The sequence below is a fragment of the Homo sapiens genome, chromosome 1, assembly GCF_000001405.40.
Source record: "Homo sapiens chromosome 1, GRCh38.p14 Primary Assembly".
Classification (NCBI taxonomy): Eukaryota; Metazoa; Chordata; class Mammalia; order Primates; family Hominidae; genus Homo; species Homo sapiens.
In genome coordinates this window covers 66,276,147-66,292,411 of record NC_000001.11, presented here as the reverse complement: position 1 = coordinate 66,292,411, position 16,265 = coordinate 66,276,147, and the positions used below count along the sequence as shown (strand labels likewise).

Genomic DNA, 16,265 nt, shown 5'->3' with positions numbered 1-16,265 from the left:
AACCCTCGCTTTGCCACTCAGTAGCTATGAGATCTTGGGTTGCTTAGACTCTCTCCATCTCATTGTTTTTTATCTTCAAAATGGGGCTAATGATAATCTCTGCCTAAGAATGTGTTACATATGAAATAGATATATAAAACACTATTCAGCAAAGATAAACATTCACCAACTATTGGCTATTATTACTATTGTAGTGATAGTCAAGCCTGTTAAAGGTCATTTAATTTTTCTTATCCTTAATAGGAAAAGAAGAGAAAATAAATCAAACAATTAGAGCACATCTATTCAATGTTTCTTAAACTTCGATTTATACAAGAATCATCTGGGGCTTTATTTAAAAATGCAGATTCCCCAGGCGCTAATGGAAATTAACATCTCATGTTCAATCTTAATGAGTACCATTTGGCTCTAATTATGTGCAGAATGCGTGAATGGCTCCATGCAAATCCATATATCCCTCATTTATGAAAAAAACAATTCACAGGCTACAACCACCTAAAAGTAGGACAACATAAGGAGCTTATTATCAGTATACTCACAAATAATCTACACAGTTAAGATACTCGGATATTGAAACTAAAATTTTCATATTGACCTCAATTATCTGGGAATTTGTTTTAAAAGTCAAATCTCAATTCATAATTACATGGTGGGAAAAAAAAACAGGTCATTATTGCCAGTCCTTGGAGCCCATGGAGTGCAGCTTATGCTGTCACATGTGTCAGCACATTTGACTTCAGGGGAAATTCTCTTAACATAGGTCACCAGGCTTGCAAAAAACCAACAAACCATAAACTTGACTCTGTAACAGGATGTTTGCTTTCAAAAGAGGGAAATAATAAAATCTATTAATTCCATAATTCCCCCACAATTAGTGTCTCATTTTGAGAACATGGGAGAGTAGAAACCGGTCTAAATATAGTTGGAAATAAAATCCATTTGTTTTCTAAGTAACATCTATAGAAAGGTGACAACATGTGACAACAAATGGATATATACAACAGCTTGATCCAGCAGAGATGTTGGCTGATTTGCCATTATACTGTACTTGTTAAAAGAGCCTAGTATCTAGAGTCAGACTGCCTGGATTCCACTCTTGGCTGCTCTGCTTGTTAGCTTCTTGGTCTGAGAAAAATTATTTAACCTCCCTAAAGCTCACTTTTCTTATCTGTAGTATGAGATCATAAGGATTCCTATCTCACTGGTTTGTTTTAAAGATGAAGGGAAATACTACATATAAAAGCACTTAGCCCACAGCCTGATATAAAAGACATGCTCAGTAAATGTTAGCTATTGCTATTTGTTGTCAACCTAAAGCTTTCTGTGTCAAGTAAAGATTTTGCATCCCTTCTTCATTTATGAGCTCTTGGCAGTGGGGAGAGCTGATGGTGATTTCTTAGGTAGAGGAGGTACCCTGGTCACTGAGAGGAACCTGGAAAGCTGTGAGGTAGAAGACAAAGCATCCAGTTTGGACCTCTTCCAGAATTGAGGCTTAAAGTCAGCCATCAATTTCTTCATCCTTCTGATGAGTGGTTGTAGTTCACTCTAGATATTATTCTTTCATGGAGCCATGGTTTCTGCTTCTGAGCAGGGATTGAGGGGTAGCCTGGTGGGTGGAAGGTTTCTTGTGGCCAAGTCCCCAAGGCAGCTTCATGAAAGTACATAAAGTGCTAGCATACTAGTAAGGGATAATAGTGTACTTGATTATTACTCCTGGCATTGGAAATTATCCCTGCTTCCACATGAAGCACCAATTAAGTCAGGCCACTGAAGTCTGATTGCTGAATGCTGTGGAAAATCCATTTGCATTTTGGGTTAGATTCACTTTATATTCATAATTTAAAATCTCAGAGGAACTCTCAGTCTTGCCTGGAAGTTCCACTGAATACTTTCTATCCCAACTGTGTCCTAGCTTCTCTCCTCAAATGTCCCTCTTGACTCCCCTTCCACAATGTAGACCATCAGATGAGACTCTCTCAGTTTTGATACAGTGTACGTACAAACCTACTCATAAGGTTACTAAGAGGATTGAGTTAATAAATGAAACTTACTTAGAACATTACCTGGTACACATCAATAAATATAAGCTATGGTGATGATGATTATCACCTCCACTTACACCCACATCTTCCCTTCTTCTTCTTTCACCAGGTGTCCCTGCTGTTAACAAAGGCCAACACCTCAACCTGCTTTCTGGGTCCCACTGCCCTTCACCCCTTCTAGATCTGTGCAACTCTTAAAACTTATCTCTCTGCCTAATCTTTTCTCTGCTGTGTTGATATCTCTTCTTGGCTACATCAGATCACTGAAAATTAACATCTAAAACCAAACTCCTGAGTTTTTCCTCAATCCACCTTTCAATGTTCCCTCTTTTAACATTTTCAACTTAGTCATTGGCATTAATACTCACTCAGTGGTTCAAGCCAGAAGCCTGGATTTCATTCTTGAATCTTTTCTCTCCCTTACTATTTCTACTTTCAGTCCCTCCCCATCTAATTTATCAGCATCATCTTATCTATTTCACCTACAGAATATATTACACATCGGTCCACTTCCCTCACTTCCTCCTGCTACCATTCTTGATTAGGCAAGCATCACCTCTTGCTCAGACTTCTTCAACATTCCCCTCATATCCTCTCTTTCCAATCCAATTTATTACACATTGAAATCTGAGTTACATTTTTAAAAATATATATATATATATATAACATTTTCTCTTCTCCATTTTTTTCAGTGGCTGCCCAATTTGCTTTAATATAATCCAAATAGCTTACCACCACCTACAAGATCCTGCGAGACCTGGCCCTGTCTATATGCCACCAACCCCATTTTTCACCACTCACTCCTAGCTCACTCTGTTCCAGCCACACCGGCCTTCTTTCTCAAATATACCTTTCTCAAGACCTTTGAATATTATGTTTCCCATCCTGGAATAGTCTCCTTTTTCCTTCTTATCTTTCTAGATTCCATAGAAATATCACCTCCTTGGACAGACCTTTTCCCATTTTTCCATCTGAGCAATACCGTGCCCTTTTAATATCCTTTGAAGCACTTATCAAAATCTATTTATTTTCCTGTTTATAGTCTGTCTCTCCCTCCTGGTCCAAAAGAGAGGAAGTCCATTTCTTTTCTTTTTTTCTTTCTTGAGACAGGTCTTGCTCTGTCACTCAGGTTGGAAAGCAGAGACACCATCATGGCTCATTGTAGCCTCTAACTACTGGGCTCAAGGGATCCTCCTGCCTCAGCCTCCTGAGAGGCTGAGATCACAGGCATGTGTCACTGCCCCTGGCTATTTTATTTTTATTTTTATTGTTTTGTAGACCCAGGTATATGTTGCCCAGTCTTCCATTTCTATTTTATTCACCACTGCCTAGCAAAATGTCTGGCACATAGTAGAATCTACATAAATACTTCCTCAATAAATAAATGAATAAACAAGCAGCCATCAAAGTATTAATCTGTGCAGTTGAAACCACAGAACTAAAGCAGAGCTTTGGTCAAGCTCACTTAAAAAGCTGGATCATGACAAATTATTCTCCCAGAAACTGGTGCCAAGTCCTGCTGATGGTGGAGCATCTTGTGACTGTGACCTGATCCTTCTTTCCTCCAGCTTTTGCAGATTATATGCCTTCTCTGTGAACTCCTTATCACTGCCATTTAATTCCACTAAGGTACAATTTTGTTCCTTGTCCTTGATGAAGCTCTTCCCCATATTTCTAGCCCACAAACCCATATTTCTAGCTTGAGCTTCAGAAAACCTGTAACACCCAATTAATAATTATATTCCATTCTGTGTATTTATAGTAAGCCAGGCGCTAGTTTAGGAAATGGGGGTCAAACTTCACGTTCTTTAACATTTATTCAGCGTCATTTGTAGCAGGCTATATAAGGCATTTTAAAACTATTTTCATAGAACACACTATGTACCAGGCCCTAGTCTAAGAACTATACAAATATTCATTTAATCCTCATAACAAACTGAAAAAGTAGGTTTGTGATATGGTTTGGATGTCCCACCTAACTCTCAGGTTGGAATGTAATCCTCAGTGTTGGAGGTGGGGCCTGGTTGAAAGTGACTGAATCATGTGGTTGGTTTTCTCATCAATGGTTTAGCACCATTCCCTTGGTGGTGTGTTTGCGGTAGTGAGTGATTTCTCATAAGATCTGGCTATTTAAAAGTGTGGCACCTTGCCCTCTCTCTCTTGCCCCTGCTCTGGCTGTGTGTCATGCCTGCTTCCCCTTCACCTTCTGCCATGACTGTTAAGTTTCCTCAGGTATCCCCAGAAGCCAAGCAGATGACATTATTATGCTTCCTGTAGGCCATCATACAGAACTGTGAGTCAACGAAACCTCTTTTCTTTATAAATTACCTAACCTTTGGTATTTCTTTACGGCAATGCAATAATGGGCTAATACAGTTTTTTGTTTTGTTTTTTTAGAGACAGGGTCTTACTCTGTCACCCAGGCTGGAGTGCAGTGGCACAATCATAGCTCACTGCCATCTCCAACTCCTGGACTCAAGTCATCCTCCTGCCTCAGCCTCCCAAGTAGCTAGGACTTACAAGTACACACCACCATGCTCAGCTACTTTTATAAAGTTTTGTTTTGTAGGTATAAGGTCTTGTTATGTTGCCCAGGCTGCTCTCAAACTCCTGGCCTCAAGAAATCCTCCCACCTCAGCCTCCAAAAATCCATGAGCCACTATGCCTAGCCTAAAACGTAGGCGATATTATTGTCCTTATTTGCTGGTGTGGGAAACAGAGGCAAAGACAAGTTATTTGCTCAAAATCACAGAGCTAATGATTGCCAGGCCAGAATTTGGGCCCAGGCAAGGAAAGTCTGGAGTCTTCCTCCTCACCCTCCGTTCTAGTCAACCTCTCAGCTCCTTTAAAGCAGGTGTGATTCCTCCTGTTTCACCAAGAGGAACGCTGGACTCAGAAGTTAACTTTGCTAGGATTACAGCTAATTTTATGTGTTCAACATCAAATATTTGTGGAGTGCCTACTAAATGTTGGGCACTGTGCTGGGTTCTGAGATACGCAGTGTTTAAACAGACTTTGCCCTCAGGGAGTTTACAATCCACCTAATACACAGGCAATGTGTGATTAAGACTTGTGAGTTTCTGATGTCAAAACTCATGACCTTTCTATTATCTCTAATAGAGTGAGATCGAATTGTTTGGATTCGAAGATGGAGGCTCCACTCGCCAGTTGTGGGGGCAGGACAGCTCTGAAAGTCTTCACTGAGAAGAAAACCACCATCCACTTTAATTGTTAGTTAATATGTAAATGTGTCACATTTAAATATTATCCCCACCTGCATTCACTATAATCCCTCTGAGGACTGGGACTGTAATTTAGAACCCTGCTACACACATAGTCAGTGTCTAATAATGGCATTTTGAATGTGTTGTGACTGGCTGAATTCTTATAACAGCTAACAAACCTGGCAGTTAGTGTTGCTACGTTTAAGATTTCTTCAAGTTTCTTCAAGCTTGAACATTAATTACCATGGGGGGGCATACATTAGCTTTTCTTGGCTCTTTGGGGACAGTGACTGAAAGACTGAATATTAAAGGGTATTCAGAATATTCTCTTTATTACATGGGCTAAGTCTTGTGAACTTCTAGATTCAATATTGTCCTCCCTAAGGAAGCTCCCTCACGACCCCATCCACTTGCTACCAGGCCCTCCAGAACGAAGAGTCCTGACCCTGTGACCACAAGTTTTCCCATGTTTATGTTGCCAAAATAGGCAAACTGTGAATTCTCACATTTTTCACCAATGTGATGGGAAGCAGCAGGGCCTTGGTCCTAGGAAATGATGAAAAACCAACCCAAATGTATACAGAGCAAACACCACTGTTTGCCATGCTGTCTTGTTTGTTTTGGGGAATGTGGATTTATTAATAATAATGTTTCACAATGTGGCAGTCACATCTGCACCACAAAATATCAGTCATAGAAAGTAATGCAGGAAAAACCCCATTAAATCACCTAGTCCTGCATCTGCCAAGGCCACAGGCTATGTTTCTGCCTTTTGAGTTTTAATAGCATTTCAAAATAAAAGATGAAATGTTAGGTGCACTCCCTCACCTGTGATTCATAATTAGTATTAATGATGGGGCTCATGACGAGAAAATGTAAAACAAAACATACAAAAAGTTCCAACTCCTCAAAGTTTCAGTTTATAACCCTGAGTAGGCCATTCCCCCAATTTTACAAAGAAAGGAAAATTGACTAGTAGACTTCAATTACCAGAAGCACATGGCATCTTCTATGGAGACTCATGGGCCAAGGAAAAGAAAAATCATGTTTATTTATTTAGCACTTATTTATTTAACCTTCTAGCTGGGTTTGGTTGTTGGATCTGGTTTTACATCCTGAATTACGAAGTTTATGATGGGAAAGTGTGTCAGCTGTTTGCTGAAGGAAAGGAAGTCCTCTATTCTTTGTCTTCTCTTGTTCATAGAATCAAGCATCCTAAATGATTGTTTAGAGAAGTTAAAATATGGTACAATTAGGAGCCTTACCCTAGTTTGGCTTCATTGTCAACACCTTTGGTTCTTTCTTCCTGACAGTGCCTTTGGTAAGCTCTTGTTACTTCCTGCCTGCAGCATTGTACAGCTCTTTTCTTGGTTCCTGTCACTCCTCTAATCCGTCTGGGCAACTGCTGCTTGAGTCAGGATCAGCTAAGATATATATACCATGGAATACTACTCAGCCATAAAAATAATGAAATGGTATCTTTCACAGCAACATGAGTGGAACTGGAGGCCACTAGCCTCAGTGAATTAACTCAGAAACAGAAAATCAAATACTGCATGTTTTCACTTATAAGTGGGAGTTAAACAGTGGACACATGGACATATAGAGTGAAATAATGGCTGTTGGAGACTACAAAAGGTGGAAGGGTAAGGGGGTGTGAGAGTTGAAAATTTCTTAATGGGTACAATGTTCACTATTTGGGTGATGGATACAATAAAGGCCCACAGACTTCATCACTATGCAATATATTCATGTAAGAAGCCTGCACTTGTACCCCCTAAATATATTTTTAAAAATCAAAAGTTAAAAACAAATAAATAATGCTGCTAATAACATTTGTGTTCGACTTTGTGGAACATATATTGAAAGACTATACGTCTTCAATTTGTGTTGTGTAGATATCTAAGAGTGGAATTGGTGGGTCATATGGGTAAATTTACGTTTACCTTTTTAAGAACTCACAGAGTTGTTTTGAGGCTTAAACATTACAAGGAAATGCCCTACCACCATGCTATTCAGAGAGTAATGATCAATAAACATTGTTGTTGTGATTGTTGCTCTTGTCGTAATTTCATCTTGCTTGCTATATAGATGAGGAGGCTAAAGCTCAGAAATGATTATGAACTTGCTCAAGATCACACAAGTAATCCCAATTCATCAATCTCTGTTATGTTTTCTGATTCCAAGCCTGAATCTGCTTCCTGTCACTGTAGCCAAAACCACATTAACCATCCCAAGAAGCACTGCTTTGATAATGTATTTCCCTGATGAACAAATATCAGTGGCTCCTCGCTGCACACAAAATAAAATCTTGGAAGGTATGCAAAGCCCTTTTTTCTTTGCCCAGCCATCTTTCCTGTCTAATGTCCTGCATATCCCTACACCCTATCCTTTCTTCACTAATCCCCTAGGGTGACTTTCATTCCAATAACTAAGCAATTAAACCTATACTTTTTCATCTGCATACTTTATTTTTTTGAGATGGGGTCTTGTTTTGTTGCCCAGTAGGAGTGAAGTGGTTATTCACTGCAATGATCTTGGTGCACTACAGCTTCAAACTCCTGGGCTCAAGCAATCCTCCTGCCTCAGCCTCCTGAGTAGATCGAACTACAGGTATGCACCACTGCACCTGGCTGGCCTCCATTTGTTTGAGCATGGTCTGCCCTCTTAAAAACTATTTCTCACTTTGCCTTATGAAATACTATCTATTCTTTAAGGCAGAGTTCAAATCATATATCTTATACCTTCCTTGTCCTAGTCATGGTCAGAATTAATATGTAGTCTCCTAATCCACTTGGTTATAATAGGTGCTCAAAGAATATGCTAACTTGAGCTGAAATGGCTGAACACTTGGCGTATAATGAATGACCGAGCTATGGGAAATACTAATTTTTAAAATTTAATAAAATCCAATTTATAAATTTCCTAGGTACAGCTCAGTACAGAGTGTTATTTGTACTTAGGATAGGATCTTGCTCCCAACTACCTGCCTTCCTGTGTCCTTCCAGAGCACTTTATTCATGCTTCTGAAAAATTCTTATTACACTGCGTTATAAATCAAGTTATGTTTGTCTGCCCCACGACTGTTAACTCTCCCAAAGAAGAAACCATGTTTTATTCATTTCTGTATCTCCATTATCCAGCATTACCCAGGCATAATGCCTGATTCATGTTGTGGTGAGTACTCGCCAGGTGCTTTTAGGGTGAATGAATGAGTCAATGAGAAAGTGGTGAATGAATCTCTCTCTCTCTCTTTCTCTCGCTCTCTCTCCCTTCTCTCTCTCTGACACAGAAAACCCATTAAAAGTAAGCAGTACTCTCTTGTCTGACATCAGAGTTCTAAAAGACATTTATCATTTAAGAAAGAGAAGAATCTTCTTTTTGGTGTGTTGTTAACCCCACCTCCTCCAGGATGGCTCATATGATTAAGTTAGCAAGCATATGTGTGAGATATCTTCCTCTCAGTTCCTCAATACTTTCTATACAAGGGCCACAGAAAAAGAAAGAAGAGAAATATTGAAAGAGAAAAAAAATTCCAAATTATACTTACGCAAGCTCTAAAACATGGTAATTTTTTAAAAAGTTGTAAAAATTCTGGATTCTACCAAGGATCCATCAGAGGGCTTTGCGCATAGTAGAAACATTGTAAATATGTGTTGAATAATTGGATCCAACAAACATTTATTAAGTGCCAGCAAACAAGACCCAGTTGCAACCTTCTAAGACTCCTGACACAAGGGGACTGACATACATATATACATATATATATACATATATACACATATATATATAATAGTAACAATAACGGCAATGATGTATTTGGTCTTTCCTCTATAATTGGCACTATTTTAAATGTTTTACAGAAGCAACAAATTTAATCCTTAAAACAACTCTAAGAGGAAAATTTTAAAGATGAAGAAAATGAGGATGAAGCAACTGAGGTATGCAGAAAGTTTAAGAAATGATTAGTCTAAAAATAGTAGAACTGGGATCTAAATCCAGGCAGTGTGGCTCCAGAATCTCCTTATGAAAATGCTTTTAAGCTTAGGTCAGGCACCATGTCCCCTTCCTTTTTATTTTCCCAGCACTCATAAGCACTCAATGAATGTTTGCTAATGAACTGTGCCAATGACAAGGCTAACAGGGATTATAAAAATAATAAAGATACACTTTGTTATGAAACAATAGTATGGCCTCTTGTCAGGGTAGGAGAGGTGGAAGAAGCCTAGGTTTTGGAGTTAGACCAAAGAGACCTAGGCTTGAATTCCAGATTCTTACTGAGGGGCTGTTTCCTCCGTGACAAAGAATTATCCATGTCAACACCCACACACCACTATTTTTGGGCCAGGAGCCATTATAGAAATCTGAAGTAAGATTGAATTCTAAGACTCAAAGACTCAAAATAATTTAAACTAAAGATGACTGAGTCTAGAAAGGTTAAAGGATTTACTTCTGGTTACACACCTGGTTGGTGCCAGTACTGAAATTTAGGTTTCCTGAGTTTCAGCTCAGTGCTCTTTCATTTAAGTCACACAGTTTCACTTAAGGTAGGGAAGCTGAACAAAGCATCATAAGAAGCAAATTATTCAAAATGGGACTTTCCAGAGCCAGCCTAGAGTTGGATGGCTGCCTCCTTGTGTTCAAGCAAGACACACCTCAGTTTCACTACTGATCTGAAATCTAATTCTCTCTCCTTGTGATGTCAGAGGCTGGGGGTGTCTTTTAAGCAGTGAGTAATGCACTGGAGATATGTCTCCCACAGCTCTGTTACGTCCTAAAAATTCTCCCCTGCCTCTTTTCCCTGCCAGGATGGCTTACTCAAAACCCAAAAGTCTTTCAGGGAAGGAGACTTATTCCTAGAAGAGAGGAAGACACTGCCACCTCCCTATTGGCTCAGTTATTCCCATGAGGGAAAACTAAAGCTTGAAATGTATTTTCTTCTAAATTCTCTCTAGTTCTAGAATCTGGAGGAAAAAAAAACAGATTAAATGTTGCTGAAGAACAAGTTGGTATTGTTCAGAGACAGCTGAGAGTGATTGGAACCACAGATGTAAACACCATCTCAAGGGTGTACGTACCTTCAACGCAGGTACCTGTGTGGGCATCACATGCACCTTTACTTACTGGACAGCACAGAGAGCTCATGCCAAGTACACAGGCTTCTGAGCCAAACAAGGCAGTGTTCACATCCTAACTCTACTGCTTACTAGCTGAGTGTCTTTATGGTTCCGATCCTAGGTCTGTCTGTTACAAGCTGAGTGAGTGTCTTTATACTACTAGTTACATTCATGGAGGCATAGTTTTATTGGTTAAAAAAAATGGGATAATGATATTGACTTAATAGAAGGTTGTTGAGGATAAAAACAGATCTCCTTTGCAGAGTACCTAATAGAAAATCTGATACTTAGCAGGGGTTTGATATTGTGATAACACCTCCTCCCCCATGCCTTGTATTTGAAACAAATGCTTTATGGACAGACCTCTGAAAACAAGCAAAATACTTTAGGGGCAGTGTAGAACTGAAACTGATTTACCAAAACACAGTTCCATCATATATGCTCCTAACACAAGAAAAATCTCAGAAGTGATTGAATCCACCCTTCTTCCGAATGAGGAAAACCCATGTTAAACTTCCTACATATGTCTAGGCAAGTGATCTTCTAGCAAGGGAATGCAGAACAAATCACCTCCCAGAGAAACCCACTCCATTTTCTTCCAGATCTCTAGTGGGTTAAAAGGCTCACTGAGGCAAAAACCTCTCCTATAATTCCCACTCACTGTTACTTGTCTTTGCCCTCTGCTCTCGCAGCACAGAAGGGAGAAAAGGTAATATTTCCCAAAAACTGTTCCCTGTTAAAGATTAGATGGAATCCCCTCCACAGAAACTTGAGGAGTGGGGCAATAAGTAATCCATCAACAAATTTAGAAAAGGGAATTGTAGAAGCATGTTCCACTTCTGCAGAAGCAGAGGGAGTAATGTGTTTTTACAACTGGAGTAAAAGTATCAGCAGTAGGTTTAGTTTAGTAATTTGCTGGGAGCAATTCTTTATCAGAAGATAAATAAGAGTGAGCAGGAAACTGCACTTGGAAGGCCAGTCCATAAGCATAGATACCCAGGCCTGTGAACTATCTGTGCCATGCTGCCTGTGATGCCCGTGCAGGTACCTGAGTTAAAGCTATGTACACCCTGGTGACGATGTTTACGTCTGCTGTGCCAGTCACTCTCAGCTTTCTCTGGACAACACCCTCTTGTTCCTGAGCTACATTTAATCTGCTATTTTCTCTAGATTCTAAACTCAATAGGCCTAAAATATTCAAGACCAGAGGCAGGAGCCAAATGTCTTTAAAAGACTTACCGGAAACATAGGAATACGGAGGTGCAATCAGAACTTCGGCATTGTGGCTTTAGAAGGGGGCCTGGTGCCAATGTGCTCTGCAAAGAGGCTGGAGGAATTTTTAGTGACAGGAATACAAGACTCACAGGGAAATGGAGATAAGTTTTAATATCCAGGTGTGAGAAGGAAGGGCGTCTCAAGGATAACCTGGCAAATTGGATTCACATTCAAATTTCCAATTTGTTTTTACAGGGAATAAAGTTTCATACTCAACTCTGTGGAAATGTACATAAAGAATGCTCCAACCTCACTCCTACCTCCCCTGAGATATTTCTGGTCCAAATTAACTTCTTTTAAAGATATTTCCCTCCATTGAGTTTAAGATAATCAGTTGTGTGTTCCAGATACTAGGCACAAATTGATTGGCATTCGTGTAAAGCAAAAGCCCAAGATTTTCTCTTCTCTCATGTCTGCTCAGTAGAGAGAATGGTGATGTGTTTGTGTGGCCACCAATATTTAACAGGTGTGCTGCCACTACTTGCGCACTGTCAAGGTGTTCAAAGTACCAATAGCTTGCGCTTCTGGTCTTTCGAACTATCATTTGGTTTTCAAAACAATTCTGTGAGCTAGGATGAATGATTATTTTATTTTGTTTTGAAGTGAAGACTCAATCAGAAATAATACAAAAATTTTTATTGTCCTGGATTTTATACATCTTGTTTGTAGAAGAGCTAGGCATAATTCCAGTCTAATTCCAAAGACAGGTGTTTGGGGTTGTTGGTTGATGGGTCCTTGATAATTAGTTGTATGTGCTGACTTGGCTAGTCTATAGTGCCCTGTTATTTAATCAATATTGATCTAGGTGTTGGCTGTGAAAGGTATTTTGTAGATGTGGTTAACATCTACAATCAATAGACTTAAAGTAAAGGAGATTACCCCCGATGATGTTGGTGGGCCTTGTGCAGTCAGTTGTGAGCAGAAACTGTGGCTTCCTGGAAAAGAACATATTGTGCCTGAAGACTGCAGCATTAATTACTGCCTGAATTTACTTTCTGCTCTATAGATTTCAAGCTTGTCAACCACTATAATTTCATGAGCCAAATTCTTAAAGTGAATATTGTCCTACTGCTGATTCTGTTTCTGTAGAGGACCATGACTGACACAGTCCCTATCTTGATGTATCTTACTTTTTTTTTTTGAGACAGAGTCTCGCTCTGGAGTGCAGTGGTGCAATCCTGGCTCACTGCAATCTCCACTTCCCGAGTTCAAGCGATTCTCTTGCCTCAGCCTCCTGAGCAGCTGGGATTACAGGAGTGTGCCACCACATCTGGCTAATTTTTTGTATTTTTAGTAGAGTCGGGATTTCACTATGTTGGCCAGGCTGGTCTTGAACTCCTGGCCTCAAGTAATGTATCTTATTTCTTATTTCCAAACGGTTTAAACTCACAATCAGAGTCTAGGTCTTATTCACACAAGTACTCCTCCTTCCTCTTGGCTCAGTGAGATGCCATAATATAAAATTTTAGCTTAAGGAGTGCACACACACCTGACAAATAATGAAGGAAGAACTTATGCCCATGACATAAAGAGCTATGATGCTTTTAGAAAGCAACATAGGACATGTACAGGAGGGAGCAATTAGGCAGGACTCATCATTTGAGGCTTTCCAGAGGGAAGTATTTAAATTAGATTTAAGGGGCCTATATGGAAAATGGTTTGGAAGTGTGAAGAGCATGCAGAGAGGGGTAAATCAGGGGAAGGCCTTGCTCTGTGGATGAGGAAAGCCAGACTGCCTAAACTTGTGATGAGAGGGAAGGAATAAAGGAAAACCAGGTCAGTGAGAACAGAGACCCATTGTGTTGACAAAAAGCATGCAAAGAACCCTTATTTTCCCCTGGGATATACAAGTAACAAACCAGCACACATGCACGTATGCATGCACACACCACACACACACACAAACACACATACACACACACACACGGCACAGAACTGGAACATTCAGAGAGCTGAAGGATTCATTGTTTGTCCGGGCAGGTACCCCGTGCAGCTGCATGAAGCAATAAAGGAGCTGCTGCTACTCAATGCCTAAAAGACTTCCGAGCTTACAAATATGTGAAAAGCTTCTTCCAGTGTTTATTCACTACACTAAAGGTGTGTGTTTACTTCACAGAACTGAGCCCTTGTTCCTTTGAGGCCCTATTAGCAATGCAGGGATGAAAAGGAAGTCATAGTGTTATGTTCTTAGTAGGATGACTGGCTCTTTTGGTGAGACTGTCCTTCCAAAGGCAGCAAATGGAGAACTCCGGAGGTTTAGCCTTGCATTTGCTTTCCAGAGAGATAGTCACATAGCCCAAGAGAATGAAAAAGCTCTTTCATGAGCCCAGTTTTCTTTTTGTGCAGATGGCAGTCCAGATTGGCATCACAGATTCTGAAACAAATTTTTGTTCCACGGATGTTATTTCAAGTTCCCCAAAGCTGTAGCAGCTGGGCAGCTGCAAAGTCATTCAGTTTCTCTGGCCCCATAAGCAGGCTCCTCCTTATCAGAATATACCCCAGTTTCAAGAAAGCCTATTTTCCCATGAATAGGACAGCAATCTTTCTCTTCTTTTAGTTACAATTTATTGCACTACCTCTCTTTCCTTGTTCATTCTTTTTTCAGTAAATATTTTTGAACACCTGCCTTGTGCCAGGAACTAAGCATACAGTCTAGTGTATAAACAGTCAAGAAAATAGGCAGTTACAATATATTAAAAACAACTAATATTTATTTAGTGCTTTATGTGTGCCAGCCACTGTTCTAAGTGTTTTAATTTTGCTCTTAAAACAATTCTATGCAGAAGGTTCTATTATTATCCCCATTAAACATGTAAGAAAATCAAGACCCAGGGATGTTGAATTACTTCTCTACAATCATACAGAGAAAGAAAGGTATTGAACTAGAACTAAGTGCAGGCAGTCTTGCTGCAGAGCCTGTCTTCTTAACCAGGAGGTACATGGAAGGGGCAGGAGCTGAGTATTATTACAGAGAAAATACAGGTACTGGGAGCATGTATGAGATGTCACTAACCCAGACTTGGGGCTCAAAGAGAAGTTGTGTATTTAAAATGCATATAAGGCCGGGCGTGGTGGCTCATGCCTGTAATCCCAGCACTTTGGGAGGCCGAGGCACGCAGATCACGAGGTTAGGAGTTGAAGACCAGCCTGGCTAACATAGTGAAACCCCATCTCTACTAAAAATACAAAAATTAGCCTGGCGTGGTGGCGCACACCTGTAGTCCCAACTACTTGGGAGGCTGAGGCAGGAGAATCGGTTGAACCCACAAGGTGGAGGTTGTGGTGAGCTGAGATCGTGCCACTGCACTCCAGCCTGGACAACAGAGCAAGACTCTGTCTCAAAAACAAAAAATAAATAAATAAATAATAAAATAAAATAAAATAAATAGAATGCATATCAGATCACGTCAATCTGTTTCTCAAAATCTTTTAATGGCTCCCAACTGAATTTGCAGTAAAATCTACATGTCTACCATGACTTACAAATGTTCTGCTTAACCTGGCATCTCTCAGTCTCTGTGGCTGCGTCCCTTACTGTTGTTCAAAGTGCCCAGTTCTCTGGCTGTGGCATCTCTGAGGTGTTGGTTACTCTCTCAGGACCACCGCCCCTCGATCTACCCCAGCTACTCAGTGTTCAGGACTCCAGTTTAAAGTCATTTATTTATAGAGTTCTTTCCTATCTTCTAATCTACTTTAGGCCCCAGAATGATAACAATAATAACACTAGACTAATGATAATGATGATAATGATAAATAGTGATAAAACTAATGATCATAATAGTTAAACACTAAATACTACTGGGTGCCAGGCGTGTTCTAAATGCTTTACGTAAAATAACGCATTTAGATATTGCCGCAACCCTAATGGTAAGTACTAGTATTATTCCCATTTTTACAGGTGAAAAAGTGAGCCAATATCATAGCATTCTGTACTTTCCTTCATTACAATTATCAAGTGTATAGTCATGAATTTATTTATGCATTATTTCCTGGGCCGTAAGATCTATGAGATCAGGGTCTGAATACATTCTCTTCATCACAGCATCCTCAGTGGCTAACACAGTGCCTTGTATACAGTATGAATTTAACACGTTTATTAAATACATTAATGAATGAATAATGGACGTGTGAGATGTATTTCTCTCAAGACTTACACCTTTGCTTACTACTTACAATAAAATGGATAGATGAGAAAGAAATTAAAGAAAGTCCTCTAGTATGTAATAATTATTAAGGTTGTTGGTAGTCCAGTCACTTCGCTTTCTTGCTATGACATTTTCCCCATCCCCTTCTTGATAAGCTATAACATCTGAGGTTTACAGTGGGATGGAGGCAGAGACAGTGTGGTTTAGACTGCAGAGGAAAGAGCATGGGTTTTCAAGAAATACAGATCTAGCTTTCAGTTCTGATTCTATCACTAACTTTGTGGTCTTGAGTGAGCCCCACATACTTCCTGAATCTTCTTTTTCCAAATATGTGAAATAGGGGCAATAATATACGCAAAGAAGTTTAGTTTGGAGAATTAGGTGACGTGATATATTCAAAGGGGCTAGCACTGTGCCTGGCACATACCAGAAATGGAATAAGCACTAGCCCCTTACCTTTCC

The 16,265-nt window shown here is 39.8% G+C and overlaps 1 protein-coding gene across 7 annotated transcripts in view, besides 2 other annotated features; it reads right to left on the bottom strand.

Annotated features, from left to right (window-relative positions):
- The window catches only part of PDE4B (phosphodiesterase 4B), a 582,070-nt gene that overhangs the window by 82,168 nt on the left and 483,637 nt on the right, over positions 1-16,265 (bottom strand). The window lies entirely within an intron of this gene.
- Positions 9,648-9,727: an enhancer, noted in NCBI's record as "active region_1147". NCBI's record gives its function as "activates an Ori minimal core promoter by ATAC-STARR-seq in GM12878 lymphoblastoid cells {active_cell/tissue: GM12878}" and the evidence as "EXISTENCE:reporter gene assay evidence [ECO:0000049][PMID:35858748]".
- Positions 9,778-10,077: an enhancer, noted in NCBI's record as "active region_1146". NCBI's record gives its function as "activates an Ori minimal core promoter by ATAC-STARR-seq in GM12878 lymphoblastoid cells {active_cell/tissue: GM12878}" and the evidence as "EXISTENCE:reporter gene assay evidence [ECO:0000049][PMID:35858748]".